The sequence below is a fragment of the Homo sapiens genome, chromosome 1 (genome assembly GCF_000001405.40).
Source record: "Homo sapiens chromosome 1, GRCh38.p14 Primary Assembly".
Classification (NCBI taxonomy): Eukaryota; Metazoa; Chordata; class Mammalia; order Primates; family Hominidae; genus Homo; species Homo sapiens.
In genome coordinates this window covers 94,948,170-94,971,781 of record NC_000001.11, presented here as the reverse complement: position 1 = coordinate 94,971,781, position 23,612 = coordinate 94,948,170, and the positions used below count along the sequence as shown (strand labels likewise).

The 23,612-nt window shown below is 41.9% G+C and overlaps 1 long non-coding RNA gene across 3 annotated transcripts in view; it reads right to left on the bottom strand.

Moving 5' to 3' along the window:
• Window positions 1-8,511: 8,511 nt before the first annotated feature.
• CNN3-DT (CNN3 divergent transcript) overlaps window positions 8,512-23,612 on the bottom strand; it is a 36,911-nt gene continuing 21,810 nt past the window's right edge. For 2 of the 3 annotated variants that reach the window (NR_168376.1, NR_033998.1), the window contains exons 3-4: window positions 10,349-10,465; window positions 8,512-8,857 (exon numbers count right to left, since the gene is read on the bottom strand). This is a non-coding gene — a long non-coding RNA (CNN3 divergent transcript). The remainder of the gene's footprint in view (window positions 8,858-10,348; window positions 10,466-23,612) is intronic. The other variant, NR_168377.1, reaches the window with a different exon arrangement.

The following is a 23,612-nucleotide window of genomic DNA, read 5'->3' as shown; positions in this document are numbered from 1 at the left end:
CTGAAAAGCTCTTCCATCAGATAAGTTGCTTTTCTACTCCGTACTACATTATCGGTGCCAACTCAGAAGGTGGCAGACACAAGTGGTGGCAAAGCCTCATCCAGAAAAAATTACCATGGGAAGTTGAATCAACAGAAAAATATTTGATACAAGAGTATGACAGTTAATCCTAGGATTTCACTTTTTGTTCTGAACTTCTGACCTACAGCTGCTAGTCCAACCACGGAACATCTAAAAGATACTTTAATTAGATTTTAACCCTGTCGAGCGAGCATTTGGCCAATCAAATAAGTAGGTCTTTGTTTATTTCCTTTAAACTCTAAAGCCAGGAAATTACTTTTGATATGTTAAGACCCCTGCCTTCCCTCCAAGGACATCCTGAGACATAGAAATAAAATCTAGCCAAACATATTTTCAATTACTATTCATAAGGAAACACCCATCACATTATAGGTAATTTGAAAAAGCAAATTTATGGAAAAAACTGTTAAAATATTACAATATTTTTTAGAAGGCATAATTTGATGTACTTAAAACCAAGTAGTCACTTTTTGATATGTTTTGGATACTAACCGCAAGTATCTAAAGTTAACAGTAATAATAGTAGTGAGTGCACAATGCTGAGTCTTTTACATGTATTAATTCACTAAATCCTCACAGCAGCCCTAGAGAGTAGTTAGTATTAGGTTGGTGCAAAAGTAATTGTGGTTTTTGCCATACTTTTAGTGGCAACCTTTCTGGGCCCTGTTTGTTCCTCTGGATACAATACAGATGTAATCAGGCTTCCTGGGCCCCATGTCTGCCCTGGAGGTCAGTTGCCTGCATTGTCACATGCTAAAATCCCCTAAGTATGATTCCAAAGGCTTTGAATAACAGTGTTGGTTTTTACTGAAGATTCGGAGGGTGTGGGGGAGGTTGGGTTGTATCATATATCACCAGCAAAACATCCTTAAAGATTTCTTGAAATACTTTACCCCCGCAAATACCCTTTTCCTCTACCAGCTGCCCAAATTCTCTTTCTCTCTTCCTTTCCCCTTTACAAAGGTATTTTTTTCCCTTTCCTTTCTCCAGTCACACTCAAGATTTCTCCCTATTCCAAGTCTATTTTCATTCAACAAATATATATGTACATATGTATATATATATATGTTAACGTGTGTGTGTATATGTGTATATATATATACACACACATATATATACACATATATATATATTTGTTATCTAGCCTGGGTGACAGGAAACCCTGTCAAAAATATTTGTATATTTAGATATATATATATTTGAATATTATATTAACATATTTAATATATGAGAGATATATATTGAATATATATATATATATATATTCAAATATTTGTTGAATGAAGCCACTGCACCTGGCTTCATTCAACAAATATTTTTGGCCGGGGCATGGCAGTGGTAGCTCATACCTGTAATCTCAACACTTTGGGAGGCCAAGGCTGGAGGATCACTTGAATCCAGAAGTTTGAGACCAGCCTGGGCAACACAGCAAGACCCTATCTCTAAAAAAAAAAATTTTTTAATCTAAAAAGATAAAAAATTAATTTTAAAAAACCAAATATTTTTAATGTATCTACCATTTCCCAGGAATATTCTTGGTGCTGGCAGATACAACAATCAATGGACTTTACAATCCATCCCTTTCTTATATAGAGGAATCGAACTTTGTCTCATGTCTTAAATTTGCATGCAGCCAAAGGCAGGCTGTGGGGGAAATGCAGGGGATTTAAATTACTAATAAATTTTTTTTAGTGTTATATAGAGAGAGATGAGTACTTTTTTGCTCTCAAAGGGCCTCTCAGCTCTATTTTTAAAAATAATTGTATGATTTTATAAAGTTTAATTCATAGCAATGTCTCCTTCCAAGACACTGATAATCATTATAATAAGCATTTATTGGATACTCACAGTGCCTCTTAGCATTGTATTAATTGCCTTACATTTAATCCTCACAATCCAGTAAACTATAGGTACTATTTCCCTTTTCTCTATAAAACTGACATTTAGAGATGCTCTGTGACTTGCCTCAAGTCAAACAGCTGCCAGGTGGCAGATCCAACATTGAGACCTAGTCCTGCCTGACTTTGGATGCTGTGCTTTTTAGCCCCTGTGCTCACTGCACCGCCCCGTCCCTCCTGTCGGCCCTTACCCAAAAGTGTCGTATCTCTGGGCTGGGAATATTAACAAAGCATTAGAATAGATTTTCCTGTACCATTTTTGCCATATCTTCTGAAGATTTTTGCCCTCTGCTGAAGTACAATTGGAATCAGTTTTTGAACAAATCATGTTTCCACCAACCAACATCTATGGTGCACTTGGCACTATAACAATGCTGTTGATTCATTATGAACCTTAAGAAATTATCTGTGGCCGGGGACCGTGGCTCACGCCTGTAATCTCAGCACTTTGGGAGTCGGAGGCAGAGGATCACTTGAGGCCAGGAGTTCAAGACCAGCCTGGGCAACATAGCAAGACCCCATCTCTACAAGAAAATTTTTAAAAATTAGCTGAGTGTAGTGGGATGCGCCTATAGTCCCACCTACACAGGGCAGGCTGAGGCAGGAGCATCCCTTTAGCCCAGGAGGTCGAGGTTACAGTGAGCTATGATTGCACCACTGCACTCCAGCTTGGGTGACAGAGTGAGGTTCTGTCCCAAAAAAGGAAAGAAAAGAAAAAAGAAATTAACTTAAAATTTTTAAGGTTGAGATAATAGAAACCCAACTTAAATTAAAAAATAATTTTGATTCAGATAAACAAAGTCTAGGTCTCAACCCAATTTCAAAGCCTGATAGATTCAAGAGCTCAAATAATAACTGTCAGGGCCCTATTTTGGCCTCCTCTTTTTTCCTGGCCCTGCTCTTCTCTTCCTGTCTTCATTCTGTATGCAGGCATTCTCTAGTTGGCAAGCAAAACAATCACCAAAAGCCTCAGGTTCACATCTCCCAACTCAGCAACCCCAAAGAACAGAGAATGAATGCCTCTCTCGATACTCATTTATCAATAGCAGGGAAGCCTTTGATTAGCTCTGCCCAAGTCCCCATGGACCAATCATTATGACCAGGGAGGTCTGGGACTGTGATTGATAGCCCCATCAATGCCATATGGGGTAGGGGAGAAATTACCCAAAGAACCCAAAAGAGAAGAATAGGAAAGTGTGTGGGAGAAGCCAAATGAATAGATGCAACCATCTACCACCTGGTCTCTGCCATCAAAGAACTTTCAATTTAGTTGAGGACATGGATACATGAACCAAAAGATAATGTGAAGAAGCATACACTTGCCCAATGGTTGGCACCCTGTAATGCAGAAGACCCGACCTTCACTACTCAGCAGAAGCCTTCTGAAGATCGCCCCCAGTGTAGGCCTTCTAGTTCCCTGCAGTTCTTGTTTGGCTTCCTTCTCATCCCCACGCCACCACTGGCACCAGTTTCCTGTGAGCGTTTCTTAGTGTCAACCCCAGTAATGGTGGCAGGAACAGGAGAGAGGCCCAGCAGACAAAATGGTAAAGCTGGGAGATTCCCACTCGCATGGCAGCAAATGATCTTTTCATCAGAGCAAGCAGAGTAAACAGGAGCTGGCCATTTGGTGAAACACGTAGCGTAAGACCCAAGAAAGGAATAAGGAAAGAGCCAAGAGGAAAGTAGAAAAAATGTAATTTCTACTATTGAAAAAATTAATTCTGAAATGAAACTAGTTTTTGCTGGACATGTAGAGTAATAGTACAGCCTTTCTTTAATGGAAAAACTCCATTCATTATGCTTAGAGAAGTCACTTGTCTGCCTCTCAACATGCTTTAAAGTCATGGGCTTAATAAAGCCACTCCAGACTCCTAATAGGAGTCTCCTTTCTTTTGCTTTAGTTTTCTTTTTATGTATTTCATGTATGTATTTCATGTTTCAAATTGTTACTACAGCCTCCTGTCAGTTATAATTTTTTTTAAACAAAGTTTTCTTAAAAGACTGCCTTTGTCCGTAAACCAGTGAGAACTCCTAGAAGGATTTATAAACCACCAGGAAAAGTTTTCTGTTTCTGTCCTAAAAACACTGGAGTAAGTGGCAACAGGTCTTTGGGGAGCTGCCCATACATTCTTCATATCAACGTTGGCTAGAGTGATCTGATTTGAGCAACAGAAGTCATTGAATTCTTAGAAGCATCAGTGATTTTTGTGGAGGCTCTAACTTGGTATCAATCTTGACAATTGTGATTTAGAATGTCACGGTTTTTATGAATTTGTTGTTCCCTCTATTGTCTAGTCACATAATTAAAGTATCCAAGGGCTACCACATGAATCCTTGTTTTCTTAGGGACTTTTCTATTGCAAACAAAGAAAGAAAGAAAGAGTCGTGACTTATATAAGAATGCTGAATGTATAGATTTAAGTATAAGGCAATGCATGTTAAAAGGTATATTCCAGTTCTGAAAAGGAAACGAGTCAGTAACAATGGAAGGATTTCCTTACATTTTTCTGCTACTGTTCTGGAGAGCGGCACAGTGGTCTCAAACCCAGATTTGTTTAACCAAACCTGTTAACATGATATTTTTCATAAATTTACTGGATTGTAAATAGGAGTTAATTTACTCCCTATCCAAATTATATATTAAATATTTTGGAATACTAAGGCTCTGGCTTATACCATTGTTTGCTGTATAATATAGTCAGTAATCATATGTCCAACATTTTTGGATCTTGTTTTCCCCAACTTCTAAGCCAGGGATTCTTAAACTGGAGTCCATGGAAATGGCTATGACTTTGGGGATTTACGTGTATCTATGTATTTTCTGGAAGACAGCTATAGATTTCATTAGATTCTCTGTATACCTTCCCCTCTCCCCCTGCAGAAAGATACTAAAAGATTCTGAGGCTTTTTAGAGAGGGGCTCTTCCAAAAATGAAGAGTATAAAACTGTCTCTGGTGGCCGGGTGCGGTGGCTCATGCCTGTAATCCCAGCACTTTGGGAGGCCGAGGCAGGCAGATCACAAGGTCAGGAAACTGAGACCATCCTGGCTAACACAGTGAAACCCCGTCTCTACTAAAAATACAAAAAAAAAAAAAAATTAGCGGAGTGTGGTGGCACGCACTTGTAGTCCCAGCTACTCAGGAGGCTGAGGCAGGAGAATAGCTTGAACCCGGGAGGCAGAGGTTGCAGTGAGCTGAGATCACTCCACTGCACTCCAGCCTGGGTGACAGAGCGAGACTCCGTCTCAAAAATAAAAAAACAAAACAAAAAACAAAAACCTGTCTCTGTGGACAGCGGAATGCCAGAAAAAAAGATAGAAAACAAGATAGTAGATTTTTTTTTTAAGAAAATGGTTTTTTTTTTTTTTAACAGAAATCTGCCTTGAATTTTTTTCTCTCCTGAGCCTCTTGGCCATTGTTAATTGTTATTTAGTATTCTTCACTGTGAATTACTTTGTGGGTGACTGTAAATTACTAGATTCTATTTTAACTAAAGGAGCCAACACAGCAAATTTATGTTCTGTTATAAATTAAGTAACGTGATGACATATGCTTAGTGGTTAGACTGACATGCAAAATAAATCAGATGTAATCATGTGAATATAAGTTTGAGATACAAAATAGCCATTATGGGGTTGAAACAAAAGACAGAACCATAGGAGTAGTAGTTTGCCAAAGCACAAATAAGCTAATTCTGCTTGCAGTCAGCAAAAGAAAAATAAATTAGATATTTTTCTTCTTCTTTGAGTACCACCAACAGAAGTTACTAACTCAGATGTGAGGCCAGGTGCGGTGGCTCACACCTGTAATCCCAGCACTTTGGGAAGCCGAGGGGGGCAGATCACCTGAGGCCAGGAGTTCGAAACCAGCCTAGCCAACACGGTAGAACCCCATCTCTACTAAAAATACAAAAATTAGCCGGGTGTGGTGGTGTGTGCCTGTGATCCCAGCTACTCAGGAGGCTGAGGCAGGAGAATCGCTTGAACCCAGGAGGTGGAGGTTGCAGTGAGACGAGATCATGCCACTGCACTCCAGCCTGGGCAACAGGCCAGGCCATCTCAAAACAACAACAACAACAACAAAAAAAAAAAAACCTCGGATGTGAAAACACAGAATTTAGAGATAGAAGGTCTATAACTGGACACCTCACTTATATTTTTAGCAGGTGAGGACACAGGACCAAAGATACTCCAAGACACAGGTGGCTGGTCACAAAAGCCCTAACTAAAACTAAGGCATTCTAGCTCCTAGGCCGACTTTCCACTCCACTGCATTTTACCCAAAGCACTAAAGAGAGAACAATTGACTTTTGAATTATCATGCAGATCTATTAAAGAATACACAGGCCGAGCATGGTAGCATCTGAAATCCCAGCACTTTGAGAGGCTGAAGTGCGAGGATCACTTGAGGCCAGGAATTCAAAACCACCCTGGACGACATAGTGAGACCCTATCTCTACAAAAAATTTTAAAAAATAGCCAGGAGTGGTGGTGTGCACCTGTAGTTTCAGCTACCCTGGAACCTGAGGAAGGAAGATAGCCTGAGCCCAGGAGTTCAAGGCTGCAGTGAGCTATGATCATGCCACTGCACTCCAGCCTGGGCAATAGAATGAGACCCTGTCTCTAAAAAAAAAAAAAACAAAAAAAAAAAACTACACAATTAAAGCACATTTATAGTACCTGAAACTCAGATAACAGCTTGACTACCATGAGAGCTAAAGAGATACCGCCTATCAATGAATAAATGACAACAAGAACACAAACTAAGGCTAAATTTTGTCATTCTGGTTTTCAGAGCAGAAGCTAATTTTTTAAATTGACTTTATTAAAATCATTTTCTTCACTTAAATTTATACTTACCCCGTGGAGGAGATAAAATTAAGGAAATGAAGAACTCTAACTTTTTTGAACATGGGTTTCTATACATTTGAATTTTCTCCCTGATCAGGTTATTATCTGTTATTTTTTTCTTTTTTCTTTTTTCTTTGAGACGGAGTCTCCCTCTGTTGCCCAGGCTGGAGTGCAATGGCACGGTCTCAGCTCACTGCAACCTCCACCTCCTGGGTTCAAGTGATTCTCCTGCCTCAGCCTCTCAAGTAGTTGAGATTACAGGTGTGCACCACCACGCCTGGCTAATTTTTGTATTTTTAGTAGAGACTGGGTTTCACCATGTTGGTCAGGCTGGTCTCAAACTCCCGACCTCATGATCTGCCCGGCCTCAGCCTCCCAAAGTGCTGGGATTACAGGCGTTAGCCACCACGTCCAGCCTCATGTGTTATTTGCATAATTTTGATTAAAAAAAAAAAGACTCTTACACCTTGAGGTTTTTGTTTGATGTGCTGTGCTTCTCATCTACAAGTTTGACACTAGCAGTGGACTATTTTCTACACTTAGCTTATCAATGGAATTCAAAAGAAAAGAAAAATGACATAATTTTATTTTTGGGGAAACTCAGTCTTATTTCCTTTCTTGTGTGATTCTCCAAGGAAAAATGGAGACCAGAAATTTGGTTAAAATATAACTTATAACTGGAATAAATTTTGGCATCTTTGGGGCCAACCCACAACTCAGAGGGAAGCCCACTCTGGAGGCTAAGAAACTCCCAGGGTTAATTGCAGCTAGTAAACATGGATGGCAGGGCTTAAATCCCTGCCTCCATTCTCGTATTTATCCTCCCATTACCCACGGTGATTGCATTCCTGCAGTCAAGGGCATAAGTCATCCAATTTTACTTCCCATTGGTTTTCTATAGCTCCCATTGGGCTGTCCCATCGGAAGTCATTTGTTATGAGACAGAGTCTTGCTCTGTCACCTAGGCTGGAGTGCCTAGGCGTAATCACCGCTCACTGCGGCCTCTGCCTCCAGGGCTCCAAGGCTAAAAACTTTTCTAAATGTTATTTTTGGCTGGGCGCAGTGGCTCACGCCTGTAATCCCAGCACTTTGGGAGGCCGAGGCAGGTGGATCACCTGAGGTCAGGAGTTCGAGACCAGCTTGGCCAACATGGTGAAACCCTGTCTTTACTAAAAATACAAAAATTAGCTGGGCGTGGTGGCGCATGCCGGTAATCACAGCTACTCGGGAGGCTGAGGCAGGAGAATTGCTTGAACCTGGGAGGCGGAGGTTTCAGTGAGCCTAGATCGCACCATTGCACTCCAGCCTGGTGACAGAGCAAGACTCCATCTCAAATAAATAAATAAAATAAAATAAATGTTATTTTCCATACTTCAGGTATGTTTTGTTCTACTCTTAAGGGGAAAAAAACAACCTATGTAAACTAAAATTCAGTAACCCAGTAATTCATCAAGTTTCTCTGTTATCTTAGAGGCACTATAGCAGAATGGTTTAATACCTGGACCCTGGGGTCAGGCTGCCTGGGTTCAAATTCTGTCTTGCTTTTTACCTGGGCAGGCCACTGCACTTCACTGTGCCTCAGTTGTTTCATTTGTAAGGTTAGGATTATAGTTGTAACATCTTTATAGGGTTGTTTTGAAGATGAAATGAGTTAATAGATGTAAAGCACATAGTAACACTCAGTAAACACTCAATAAAAAGCTTTATTAACCTTAATATGTTTCTTCATAGCCCTTGTAAAACCCTAGCCACTCTTTTGCAATAAAGCATTTTCAAAAAGTACCATCGATCCGGGGTTATCTCTGTGTTCTTTTCCTGGAGGATCCTGAGTGCGGGCTGTGTCGACATCACGTCATTAATGTCTTCTGCTCCCTGCACTGTGGTCAAAGGCTTTTCAACGTAGCCTTGGATCCCCTGGGTTTGCTGCAGTTCAGTGCACCTCAAAGCACGATAACAGGAACTGAAATGGCAGAAACTGAAAGCAAAATAAAATTCAGCCAGGAAACACTTAGCTGTTTTTCCCTTTGCTCTGCATGGGGAAAAAAAAAAAAAAAGAGGAGGAGATAAATCGAAAACCTGTAAAATCCAGCATGTACTTCAGGGTTGTTTTAATTTTCTAAATATAAGTACAGTCTTCATTCCTCCCTCCAGCAAATATCTATTGAGTGTTTACTGTGGTGTGCCCTGATTCCCCATAGACATCTGGTGGCTATCTATCCTGGATTTTCTAGAACAATCCTAACTTTAAATGTCTTTGGTGTCTTTTCATGAAAATACATTTAAAAGGCAGTGGAAAAAAGCCTTTCTCAGGCCCCATGGCCAGAGTTTTGTTCCATATTTACTTTCAGCTGTGTTTCTGTTTTCCCCAAGGTCAGGAGCCGCCCAGTAAAAAAAAAAAAAAAAAAAAAAAAAAAAAATCTCCAAGTCCTGAAGGTACTGCAGGAGCCAGGATAGGGAAATTACTAGATGGTATTCTCTGTTTCTCCTCTGGAGAAAGAGTTTTAAGGGTTAAAATTTTCATCTATAACCGTGGTTGTTTCTTTGGGGCTGGCAATACTGAAAACTAACTTTTTGTATTATACATTCTTATAATGTTTGGTTTTTTTACACTTTTTAATGAGATGTATTACTGCGATAAGCAGAAAAGAAAATAAAAGTTTTTTAAACTACTGACTTACTTCCACAAATAAAATAGACATTCTCTTTTTTAGCAACCCAATAACAAGGGGTAGTGAAAAATGATATGCTCCCTGAAGACAGGGACCGTCTGCTTTTCTCATCTTAGCATTCCCACAGAGGAGCACTGAATAAATATCCATCAAAGGAATGAACAAAGGCCTCCTTCATATTCCTTAAATCATCTTTACTTTCCGGAAAGGAACATGGTAGCTCACCTTAACCATGCCAAAAAACATATACTTTATATAAGTCCAGATTTACACACAAAGGATTATTTACTTGATGAAGGGATTTACCAGATTCCTTTCTACAGCAAAATCTCCTCAGTCGATTTAAAGTGTGACTTGATTTGCTTCATTTTTCTTATGAGATAGTGGAATAAATGAGAACTTCGGTAAACCAAGAGCCGGGAGTGTGAACCCTGCCTTAGCCTCTAGAGTAGCTGAGATCACAGGCGTGCGCCACCACGCCCAGCTAATTTTTTTTTTTTAACCTCTGACCTGTCGTGTGTCCTTGGGCAGGTTTTTTTGTTTGCTTATTTTTTTCACCTCCCTGTGTCTTAGTTATCTCTACTCTAAAATGAGAATAATTGGAAGGGTTATAGGTACCATATTAAAGCCCCTGGGACAGTGCTAGAAGCATAAATATAAATGGCAGCTGATATTCTTATTGTTTATTAAACCTTTTCAAAGTATCCAATGCATGAATTGAAGTGTAATTGCAGTGATAACCACAGGCCCCAAAATGTATCATGGAGGCTAAAACCTAATTGGTTTAAAAAAAAAAAAATCAAGCTTTTTATGCTTCATCCCAGATAAGTGATTTAAATGCTTAGACTCACATCGTTTCATGCTTGGAGTTCTGAGAGCACAAGGGGCCCCCTTTACTTCCTTGTTTATGTGACAACAGGGGAAATCTCATCATCCTCCCCTCGCCAGGCTAACTTTTTGAGGTTCAGCTTGAAAAAAAAAAGAGAAAAGTAGCAGTTATATTTGGGAGCAAGGACTGGTGAGCTTGGTTACTGGGATTGAACCCTAGCCTAGAGGAATTACTGAAGGTTGAACCCAACAAAAGTACCTAAACCTCAGTCTAAAGTTTTCAATCCAGGCCAGGCGTGGTGGCTCACTCCTGTGAACCAGCACTTTGTGAAGCCAAGGAAGGCAGATGGCTTGAGCCCAGGAGTTTGAGACCATATGGCCAAGATGGTGAAATCCTGTCTCCCCTAAAAAAAAAAAAAAAAAAAAAAAAAAAAAAAAAAAAAAGAAAAATTAGCCAGGCGTGGTGGCACAGGCCTGTGATCCCAGTTACTCTGGAGGCTGAGGCAGGAGAATTGCTTGAGCCCGGGAGGCGGAGGTTGCAGTGAGCCAAGACGGCGCCACTGCACTTCAGCCTGGGTGACAGAGTGAGACTCTGTCTGAAATAAATAAACAAACAAACAAACAAACATTTCAATGTGATAAATAAATCAAGAGCTGCACTATATAGTGAGAGTAGGAAGTCTCTTCCTGACCCCATCTCTCCTCTTTAAGGTATGAGAGAGGCCTGAGGGGCTTGCAGGCCACAGAGCTGAAGGCTAGGATATCACTCCAACACGGTCAAACAGGAAGAATCCAACTCCCACTAGCTTCAAGAACAAGTGATGGGGAAAAAAGGGAGAAGCAGGAAGCCGGCAACAGACAACTGTATTTTTTCTAGTTACACATGCAGCAACCAAGCTATGTCCACATGGTGGGCTTCCCCGTGTCCGGGTGCATTCACTCTGGCACCTTGCTAAGATTCTTTGCAAGTCAACAAGTCAACAGGCTTCCTCCTCATGCCATGTCTGCCCTGTCCTCCTTCTAGAATCAGGGAGGGACTCTCAGGAAGTAGACCAGACCCACAGGCCCCTGGGCTGCCGGACACTCCCACTCTCCCCCACAAATGAGAAGATCTCCCTATCCCCTCTTGTCCCTGTCCCAGATCCCCTCAGTAGTGATTATGTAATTCCATTACAATTCAGAGGAAAAAGGGATTTTTAAAAAGAGATCAGAGAGGCAGATTGGCCTTCAAGGTAGAGGATCTATAAAACCAGCCCATTCTACCGGCCATAGACAGTGTTCAGATATCCTAGACAAGGAAAGTCCAAGAGGAACACAGAGGGTTAAAGTTCCTCCTGGACTTGGGCAGGTGCAGTGGCTCACACCTGTAATCCCAGCACTGAGGTGGGAGGATTGCTTGAGCCCAGGAGTTTGAGACCAGCCTGAACAACATAGAGAGACACCATGGATACAAATAATTTAAAAAATTAGCTGGATGTGGTGGTGTGTGCCTGTGGTCCCAGCTACTCAGGAGGCAGAAGCAGGAGGATCACCTAGCCCAGGAGGTCCAGGCTGCAGTGAGTGGTGACTGCACCACTGCACTCCAACTTGGGCAACACAGTGACTCAAAAAATTAAAAAAATAAATAAAAGCAGAATAGCATTATCCTTTAAGCATCACACTCTCACACACACAAAGTTAGTGTACGTGGATATTATATCTTGAGTTTATTGAGATGTATGAGAGCACAACTTGTGCTTTTTCGAGTTCTTTACAATTCTTGATGTAATGCTATATAGCACTATATAGTAGATGCTCAACTGATATTTGTGAATAAATGCCTGTGAAATAGAGTCCTGGCCGGGCATGGTAGCTCAAGCCTGTAATCCCAACACTTTGGGGACTGAGGAGGCTGGATCACCTGAGGTCAGGAGTTCGAGACCAGCCTGACCAACATGGTGAAACCCTGTCTGTACTAAAAATACAAAAATTAGCCGGGCGTGGTAGCAGGTGCCTGTAATCCCAGCTACTCAGGAGGCTGAGGCAGGAGAATCACTTGAACCTGGGAGGCGGAGGTTGCAGTGAGCTGAAATTGTGCCATTGCACTCTAGCCTGGGTGACAGAGCAAGACTCCATCTCAAAAAAGAAAAGAAAAGAAAAGAAATAAAGAGTTCTAGAGTGGTAAGGGTAGGCTTCATAAAGAGGGTAGTAAGTTACCTAGATTATTACAGGGCATTGATCAGAATGCTGGTTGTAGTAAACTTTTTAGTTTTATTGTTAGAGCCAAGAAATAATACTAATTCCCCTCCACTTCTTATAAAACATGGCAAGGGGCAGGGGAGATGCTTAGCTTTTGAGTGCCCATTTTTGCTGCCAAAGGTAAGGAAGCTAATTTTACTAGTTGTTCCCTAAGGTACTGGTTTATATCTATCCTCTTTTCAGTCCTGTTGTTCTACCCTGCTTATAAACTTCATCATAAGAATCAAGACATGAGAGGCACAACAGTGAACACAACAGAAGTCAGGCGACCTCACTCTAAAGGGCACTCAACTACAAGAATAACCCATCATTTATTTCTGTTGAAAATGGAAACGTGGGGCAGGCTCCTTGGTGGTAATCTTCGCTGTGCCTGATTCTGATTCTAGGCAGAGACAGAAATTGTTTAATAAAACCCAGGTGACCATATCCTTTCCTATGCAGACATAATGGATTGCAATGTCATGATTATGCTCTGTTCTCCAGGGCTTTTGCAAACAAGTCATTATATCGTGGTGGAAAGTTTGAGGTATTCACTATACCTTGAAAATAATGTGCCTTTCTTTACCAGGGTAGGAACAGCCTCTAAGTGAAGACAGAGGAGTGAGAAATATGACATTTCTGCATGAGTTGGCTACTAGTCGCAACACATCTTGGTGCAAATAAAGGAAGTGTTAGCTGCTTGGGGTGGTTAATTGGCTGGGCCACGGTGCCCAGATAGTGGTGAAACATTATTCTGGATGTTTTTGTGATGGTGCTTTTGAATTAGATTAGAATTTAAATCTGTCAACTTTGAGTAAAGTAGATTGCCTGCCATGGTGTGGGTGGGTCTCATCTAATCAGTGGAAGGGGTGAATAGAACAAAGGTCTCACCTCCCCTAGCAAGAGGAAATTCTACTAGCACATGGTCTTTGGACTTGAACTGTATATCAGCCCTCCCTGGGTCTTCAGCCTGCTGGCCTACCTTGCAAATTTTTGTTTGTTTGTTTGATTGTTGAGACAGAATCTCACTCTGTCATCCAGGCTGAAGTCCAGTGGCATGATCACAGCTGCCTTGACCTCCTGGGATCAAGTGATCCTCCTGCCGCAGCCTCTCAAGTAGCTGGGACTACAGGCACATGCCACTATGCCTGGCTAATTACCTTGCAGATTTTGAACTTGCCAGCCTTCATAATTGTATGAGCCAATCCCTTACAATAAATCTCAACGAATCTCTTTCTATACGTATACATAACCAATTGGTCCTATCTGTCTGGAGAACCCTGACTAATACACTGCTGTAACAAATAATCCTCCCACATTTCAGTGGCTGAACACAATGAATTTATGTCTCTCTCAAAGAGCAGCCCAAAGCCAGAGTTCCCTGTTGGGGGGAGTTTTTCCACCATGCAGTAATTCAGACACCCAAACTTCTTTCACCCATGATCCATTATCCTCCAGGCCCTCTGCATCCTCTATGTCCAGCTGGCAGAAAGGAAAGTGAGAATAGAGAAGACAAATCTGCGTTTTAACCATGGTGGCCCAGATGTGGCCTCCACTATTCCCACTCACTTTCCTTTGCTGAGAATGAATCACATGACTCCATGGAGAGGAATGGTGGGGCTGGGGAAGATGGCCCTTGACTGCAGAGCCACTTCCCAACAACAACTTTCTGCTACGGAAAAGGGAGCAAGCATTTGGTAGCCACCAGTCTTCTTGGTGAACACTTGCTGTCTTACGTGTGTTTTTAAGAATTATTCCACTGCAACTCTAATCTCTTTGGTGTTTTCTCTGACAAGAGTCCCCATCCAATTTGTTTCCTTCTAATACGGCACAGAGCTTATTCTGTGCATTTCCTGAGTGGCCTCACATCATTAGACCTTTCACAGATCTAAAATCTAGCAAGAAAAATAAGGTTAACAAAAATAAAAAGGTTAAATAATAATAGAAGGCCAGCACAGTGGCTCATGTCTCTACTCACAGCAATTTAGGAGGCCAAGGTGGGAGGATTGCTTGAGCTCAGGGGTTCAAGACAAGACTGGGCAACAAAGCGAGACCCTGTCTCTACAAAACATTAGCCAGGTGTGGTGGAGCACATCTGGAACCCAAGCTACTCAGGTGGCTGAGAAAAGAGGATGGCCTGAGCCAGGAGGTTGAGGCTACAGTGAGCCAAGGGTTGCGCCACTGCACTCCAGCCTGAGCAACAGAGAGAGACTCTGTCTCAAAAAAACAAAACAAAACAGTAGAAGGCAGTATGTTATTACATGTGCAGAGAACAGGACAGATGGTAAGTATAATGTGTGTTCAGAAGAGGGAAAGTGGCCGGGTGCTGTGGCTCACTCCTATAATCCCAGCACTTTGGGAGGCCAAGGTGGGCAGATCACTTGAGGTCAGGAGTTCGAGACCAGCCTGGCCAACATGTTGAAACCCTGTCTCTACTAAAAATACAAAAATTAGCCAAGCACGGTTGTGCATGCCTGTAGTCCCAGCTACTCAGGAGGCTGAGGCACAAGAATCACTTGAACCCAGGAGGCAGAGGTTGCAGTGAGCTGAGATCGTGCCACTGCACTCCAGCCTGGGCAGCAAAGCAAGACTGCTTCTCAAAAAAATAAAAAAACGAGAAAGAGAGGTTCTGTAATCAGATGAAGTAAACGTGTAGTTCACTAGAATCTTTTTTTGTTGTTGTTAGGTTTTCCTTTTTTCCAAAAAAGATTTTAAGTTCCTCATTAACCAAATATTTGAGTATCTATTTGTTGGCTGGCTCTTACTAATATCTTACTCACATCTCCCTATATCACCTATGCTGGTACAGAGCATATAGTAAACACTGGCCTCTCTCTAATTCTACTTCAGAAATATCTCATGTCCATTTCTCCATATGCACTCCCCATCCCTAGCCTATGAACAATGCCCTCTTCCTTCTTGCCTAGCCTACTGAAATGTACTCCCTGCTGGGCTTCCTATTTCTAATCTCTGACCTTTTTAACTCATATCCACAAATCACCAGAGTTATCATCCTAAAACACAGGTCAGATTGGGACAGACCTTGACAGAGAACAAATTCCACAGGCCTTCATATGTTAGTGTGCTAGTTTGTTTTATGCTCATAAATTCCTCCCATCCCAGTTTGTATGCTCCTTTGCAGTGTGACCTTGCTGCTTCTCCCTTGGAGGAGTGGAGTTCGTTTTTCCACCCTCTTGGATCTGGGCTGGACTTGTGACTTGTTTTGACAAATACAATGCAGCAGACATGACCTAAGCGTCCTGAAGCTTAGGCCTAACAGGCCTGGCAGCTTCTGCCTTTGTTCATTTGGAAAGCTGCCCTGAGACTCCAATGCAAGGAAGGCAGTCTGGCCTAGTGGAAGATGAGAGGCCACATGGAGAAGAACTGAGGCTCTCTAGCCAGCAACCATTCCCCAACGTCAACTGTCAGACGTGTGAGGGAGGCCCTCTTAAGCCTTCCAGCCCAGCTGTCACTAACTTACGCAGACACATGAAGGAGCCCAGGGGAAACCAACAGAGGAATACCCAGGCAACCCATGGCATCATGAGAAATAATAAATCGTTCTAAGCCACTAAGTTTTAGGGTAGTTTTTTATTTGTATTTGTATTTATTTATTTATTTATTTGAGACAGGGTCTCACTCTGTTGCCCAGACTAGCGTGCAGTGGCATGATCTTGGCTCACTACAACCTTCGCCTCCCAGGCTCAAGCGAATTTCCTGCCTCAGCCTCCTGAGTAGTTGGGATTACAGGTGTGTGCCACTACCGCCCAGCTACTTTTCATATTTTTAGTAGAGATGTGGTTTCACCATGTTGGCCAGGCTGGTTTTGAACTCCTGACCTCAAATGATCCACCCACCTTGGCCTCCCAAAGTGTTGGGATTACAGGTGTGAGCCACCGCGCCTGGCCTAGGGTAGTTTTTTATACAGCAATGGATAACTGAAACAGGTAGACTCAATAGGATGGGTCTGAAGATGAGGGAGAAGATGTCTAGAATGTCTCCTGTAAGCTGAGGTTTAAGGAAATAGGCAATAAGCGTCGATCAGAATGTAAGCATTGAGAACATATGGGATATTCCATTAGAGATGTCCAGTAGGTAAGTGAATACATGGCTCTGGGGCTGTCTGGCTTGGGCCATCAGTTTCAGTAATAGGGAGTGGATTAAATCACCCAGGACCACCCAGTAAGTGAGAGGAGGCAGAAGTCAAAGGTCAAAAGACAAAACCTTGGGGAGCGCTAACATTTAAGACTGGGCAAAGGAAGGAAAGCCAGCAGCACAGGAGACTGTTTTGCAACACAAGTAAAAGTGGATAGTCTATGTTTATGAGCTTTACTTTTGTTCTTTACTTTTCTCTGGCCAGTCAAAAAAGGAAAAAGAAAAAAAAAAGGCAGTGGAAGAAGCAAAGAAGATACCTGGGATAGGAATGTAAGGAAGTCCCAAGGACCTAATTAGTCATTTTCCGGATGCAAACAAGTCCTGGAAATGCAGGGGTCAGTGCTTTCCAAGGCCCGGGGGAATGCTTAGCCAAGAAACATAGCAATCTATGCAGAAAAGGCAACTAACCAAACTTGCTATGCATACTCCTCTTTCACCAGGATAGAGATCTGAGGGGGACCCAAACAAATTCAGAGAAAACTAGACAAACTACCCACTCTAGTCAACAGCAGAAGAGACGGAGATATGTGCAGAGGCAGCCATAGAAAGGCGCAAGTCAAAATATGCCAGAACACAGACAACACAGTGAGGACAGAAATAAAGATACACGGCGAGGCATGCCTCTTGACTGTCCTATCTCTTCTTCACCTTCATATCTCTCTCAGACACATCAGTGTAGCTTTATGGACTCCTGTCCTGTGGGAAACTAGATGATTACATTTATATTTCAGGATATAAGTGTATAATTACACACTTATGCCAGAGTCAGAAACTCCCCATCCAAAAACTGTTAACAGTTTAAATGAACAGAGCTGCTGATGCTGTTTACAATATGTAGGGAGAAAGAAAGAGAGAGAGTGGGGGAGAGAGAGAGAGACAGTGTGTGTGTGTGTGTGTGTGTGTGTGTGTGTGTGTGTGTGTGTGGTGATCACTGCATATCCCCAAAAGAAACTCAGCTATCTTGGATCTAGTTCCCTAATTTTATAAGTTTTTGGATATTTTTTGACACTAAGACTGCAGCATTGTTTACAACTCTCTGTCTCTTAACTGAGGATTCAATTTAACAGACATACTGAGCAGCCACGTGGTGCAAGGGCTCTACAAGGCACACACAGATGTAGGCAGTAGTGTTCCGGTAAACCAGCATTCCACAGAAAGAGACTTGATTTACAGCATTTGCTTATGTTTTTGTGGTAAAAGTATTCCCACCATGGCTGATTTCAAGCTACCAGTGGTTTAATAACCGAGGCTCATTAAAATCTTGAATATTTAGCATCCCTGGGTCTAACATTTAAGAATGAGGAAATCCGGCCAGGCGTGGTGGCTCACGCCTATAATCCCAGCACTTTGGGAGGTCAAGGTGCACAGATCTCAAGGTCAGGAGATCAAGACCATCCTGGCTAACATGGTGAAACCCTGTCTCTATTAAAAATACAAAAGATTAGTCGGGCTTGGTGGCAGGCGCCTGTAGTCCCAGCTACTTGGGAGGCTGAGGCAGGAGAATGGTGTGAACCCAGGAGGCGGAGCTTGCAGTGAGCCGAGATTGCACCACTGCACTTCATTCTGGGCGATACAGCGAGATTCCATCTCAAAAAAAAAAAAAAAAAAAAAAAAAAAAAGAGGAAATCTGAGGTATCCAAGACAACAGCCAGCACCAACTGTCAGCTCTGTGCATGAAACCATGTTAGTCCTTCTAGCCCAGCTGGCCCTCAGCCAAAGTATGTCCAGGGAAGACCAGCACCATAATCTCCCAGCCAAACCAAGGAATCATGAGAAATGGTGGTGGTTGTTTTAAACTACTACATTTTGGGATGATTTGTTACACAGCAATAGTTAACTGATACACACATAGTAGAGACTGCCTGAGGGAGGGTCAGTTTCTAGAGAAGCAGGAGCCTTTTTTGGCCTTCTTCTCTGTTAAGTTCCCAGGCCTAGTCAGAAGCTATCTGAGAAATTTCCATCCTTCTGTTTGTTACATCAAGACTTCCTAGACACCTGGTACTAAATACAACCACTGGCAGCTCTTATGTTCTTGCCCCTTTGAATGTGCTGCCAGTCCAACTTTTAATCAGCCTGGGGGCTGAACAAAGGAAAGATAATATTTACAGGCAGTTGTTTTAGGAAATTTTGTTTTCTTGAAAATTAGGCTTGATGATTTCGTCAAATGAAAGGAATAGGAAACACTGTAAGCGAGACTACCTAAGGCAGATGGAACATTTAGCAAAGTCCTCCTCATCTGTTTCATTATCTCCTCTGGATACTGACATTTCTTATCTGTCCCGCCATCAGAATTAGACTCTGAATGTCTCTAACTGATTTGTTAAATATTGACTTGATATAGTAGCAAGGAGCCAGGGTCCATTTTTTTCCCACGACACCCCAGTCCTAAAGTTAGTATTTTGTGCAGGTGATACCGTCTCTTTATGAACACTTTTGCAGAGCAAGCCCCAGTTGGACTCCTCTAGGGGATTTTCCTACTAAAGATTTCAAAAGATAAGATCTACTTCTTTGGCCTGTGTACCTTTATCATGTGTGAAATACTGGTGATTTCAAAGTATCAGGGACCAGGGAAACGACAACAAAAAAACTCTTCAAAACATCCATTTCCTAGAGAAAAGCTAGAAAATAATTATTACAAAAGCCAAGACAGTGTTTTCTCCTGGGAGGAGAGAGAGGGCTAATGGGGGTGAGGTGCCATGAGGGAGAAGCCTTCAGGTCATGTTCAAATTCTTACCCAGGTAGTAGGTCATACGGTATATGGACTATAATAATATTTTTAAGCATCTGTGCAATTTTATGCTTTTTGTGAATGAAGGCTTTATTTCAGAATAAGAACAAATAACCAATTTAAAAGTAATGCATTCTGCATTCTGATTTCTTATTGTATGAGCTGGGAGCTTGTTAGAAATGAAGACTCTTGAGCCCACCCCAGGCCTACTGAACCTGCTGATCCTGAAGTGGTTTGTCTGGACATTGAAGACTGAGCAGCACTGACCAAGATTAAAAGACAAGTCACTAGTTCCAAGATATTGGAAAAGTCACATTATCCTTATGCCTATGTCACATCTGCAAAATGGGCGTAATAATGCAGATCTGGCCTCCTTTCCAGGCTGCTGTGAAGAGGATGTGAGATCATACATGTGACAGCCCTTTGAAAAAAACCAGTAAAGCATCGTATACATTAGGTCTTATTATTACCTTGGGATAGCATCCTGAAAGAATCAATTGCAAAGAAGAAATCAGTTATCATTATCATCTTACTTTATGCTGCCTCTGCTTTCCTGGCAGCTTCATGCTTCTCAATTCTGCTCTGTCAAAACTTGCTTTCCTCCCTGCCTTGAGGGTATTACCAGTTTCACAACAGATGCAAGGTCAGCCATGCCCTTTGCAAGGTCTCTGGAGCAGATTACGTCTTTCAAAAGGCACTAGAGTCCCCAATTTAACTTTCTGACAAATCAAATCCACATGTTTGGCTAAGCCTGTTGTATGACAACAGCGTCTGGTCTCACCTGGGCTGAAGCTGAGCTCCAGCAGGAACCGGGAACACCAGGCAGGCATCAGATGCTTTCAATTGTTTATGGCTCTTGGCTTTTATTTTAATTTTTTTGAAGTTTAAAAAAATTTTATTTTATGTGCAGAGAGCTAGCAGTGGTTTCTTTCATTGAGCGCTGTCTTGGATAATCCATTCAGGGAAGACCACTTAGTCCAACTTGATGAGGGCTATAATCCCTTCCATTCTGATGGAAACACAGGTGGCACATATTGAAGTTATAGTCCCAGATCAAACCTGCTGGTTTGACCAGACACAGCAAGAGCAAGAACCGTGGCCAAATTTTCTAGGGTAGTTCCAGCAGAGCTGCTGATGACACATCTCTGAAAAAAGGGCAGTAATTCTGTGCACTGCACATTTTAAGGACTCAAAAAACTTGTTGGTGATGAATATGTGCATTATTTCAAATGTGACATTCAATCTTCTCAACTTCAAAAGATAAAAAACAAAACAAAACAAAACAAAACAAAAAACAGGTCCAAATGGACAGGTAACTAAAGCACTTATTGGTGAGGCTTGTCTAGGTTTTCTTTCATTAGGGTCCTTCTACTGAGTTTCAGGAGTTGACATGATGTTGATATTTTAAGGATGCGGTACTTAAATGCTAGACATTCAGATGTTGTGCTTCATTATTCATTCATCTCAACACATATTGGAAGGCCAGTCTGCACCAGGTTATATACCTGGTTGTATTTGTGTTCTGTCCATACAGTATGGGGAGATATAGGTGTGTGCGTGTGTGTGTGTGTGTGTGTGTGTGTGTGAATGTGTAATTATTTTTGATGACCATATTAAAAAAAGAAAAAAGAAACGAAAGAAAAGAAAGGGAAGGTGTGTGGTGAAACTGTTGAGAACTTCCCCAGTGCCTATTCCAGAGTTAGGCCCTCCTGGTCCAATCCCAGCACTACAAATATTAGTTGTGAGACTTTGGGCAAGTCTAATGATATGTTCTAAATGATATGATCTAAATGTTCTCATCTGTACAACTGTGACAAAAACAGGACCCATTTACTGTAAATATTAAAAGATTTAAACCATGTGCCTGGCATGTGATAAGGGCTCCATAAATGTTAATTTCATGATAAAGAAAGGGACTAGACATCAGCTTTGGGGGCAAAAAGAACCCCATCAAACTTGTAAATGTCACTATCATGATTATTGACACTCTGTTGATGATATTGTGCAGAAAATAATTAACATAACAGGCCCGAACTACTGCCTGTGAAAAGGCAGGCTTGCAAGGTTGGCCCTTGGCTGGTATGTGGGAGAGAACTGAGATTTTGCAAGGGTTCCCACCATTAACTGATAAGAGTGGTTCATTGTGCCAGACTGTTTGTGCAAACAATGTGGTTTGTGCTGAACACCTGCTTTCTTCTGGGAAGCCAGTATTTCCATATGTGCCAGGTTGGGGCTGCCTACATGACCAGGCTCCAGTAAAAACGTGGGGCACCGAGTCTCTAATGAGCTCCCTTGGTTGGCAACATTTCACACCTGTTTTCACATACAGAACTTGCTGCTGGGGGGTTAATTTATCCTTTGTGATTTTACTGACAGAGGAGCCTTAGAAGCTTGTGCCTGGTTTTCCCCAGACTTCACCCCAGATGCCTTTTCTCTTTGCTGATTCTGCTTGTTATCTTTTTGCTGAAATAAATCATAGCCATTAGTGTTACATGATAGTAGGCTGAGTCCTATGAGTCCTCTTAGTGACTCATTGAACCCGGGGATGGGCTGAACTAGTTATCTCTAAAGGAAACACATTTATTTGGGAAAGAGTGGTATCACAGCATCATCTAATTTAATGTAGGTAAACAAACATATCATTTTAAAAAAATGACTCAGAAACATACAATTTGAAAAAGTGTTCTTAAATGAATAAGGGATAAAAACGCTCCAAGCAGCATTGTGTCTTCAGTGACCCTTCTTTAAAATTATAAAAATGTTAAGAGTCTTTAGTGCTGTAAAAATTATACACTGTAGGCCAGGCACGGTGGCTCACACTTGTAATCCCAACACTTTGGGAGGCCAAGGCGGGCGGATCACCTAAGGTTGAGAGTTCGAGACCAGCCTGACCAACATGGAGAAACCCTGTCTCTACTAAAAATACAAAATTAGTTGGGCATGGTGGCACATGCCTGTAATCCCAGCTACTCGGGAGGCTGAGGCAGGAGAATCGCTTGACCCCAGGAGGCGGATGTTGCAGTGAGCTGAGATTGCACCATTGCACTCCAGCCTGGGCAACAAGAGTGAAACTCATCTCAAAAAAATAAATAAATAAAATAAAATAAAATAAAATTATACACTGTAATGTATAGAGCAGGGGTGTCCAATCTTTTTGGCTTCCTTTGGCCACATTGGAAGAAGAATTGTCTCGGGCCACACATAAAATACACTAACACTAATGACATAAGATGAGAAAAAAAAAAAGGCCCAAGCATAAATCTCATAATGTTTTATGAAACTTTACAAATATGTGTGGGGCCACATTCAAAGCCATCCTAGGCTGCATGCAGCCCGCAGGCTGCGGGTTGGACAAACTTGGTATAAAGCAGAAGGCAGCAATGCGGTAATTTACAATTTTTCGGTCATTGTACACTAAAAGCTCCCTGGGTCCCACTCCTACTCCACACACCTCCCTTTCTACCCCGTTCCCTCCCCAATAGTCTTGATTTCCTTCCCAGTGTCTGTGAAGCTAATTTTGGTATTCACTAACGAATTCTGTATGGTTTGAGAGTCAAATGTGAATGTATCACATATAGATGTTTCTAGACTATTCTTTCAGCAACAGTTTGAAATATACTTATTCAGCAAGAACTAACTGAATACCTTCTACATGCCAGGCTGACATGTAAAATTATTTGGTTTAACATGAACCCTGCAGTTTTTATTATGATACCACAGAATGCAGCTTAAAAGCCCTTGTTAGGCAAACCTCTCAAAACCCCGTGCTTTATTTTCTGTCAAAGATGATCAACAAAAGCATGTATTTGGGTAGTGTTGTGCTGGCCTTTGTATCAAATGAACTAGTCGAGCATTATTTTTTATCCCTTTGATAGAATGCAGATTTCCCATTAAAAAAGCAAATCTTTCAGGCTGGGCTTGGTGGCTCACGCCTGTAATCCCTGCACTTTGGGAGGCCGAGGTGGGCGGATCATGAGGTCAGAAGATCGAGACCATCCTGGCTAACATGGTAAAACCCCGTCTCTACTAAAAATACAAAAAATAAGTCGGGTGTGGTGGCGGGCACCTGTAGTCCCAGCTACTTGGGAGGCTGAGGCAGGAGAATGGCATGAACCTGAGAGGCAGAGCTTGCAGTGAGCCGAGATCGTGCCACTGCACTCCAGCATGGGCAACAGAGCGAGCCTCCG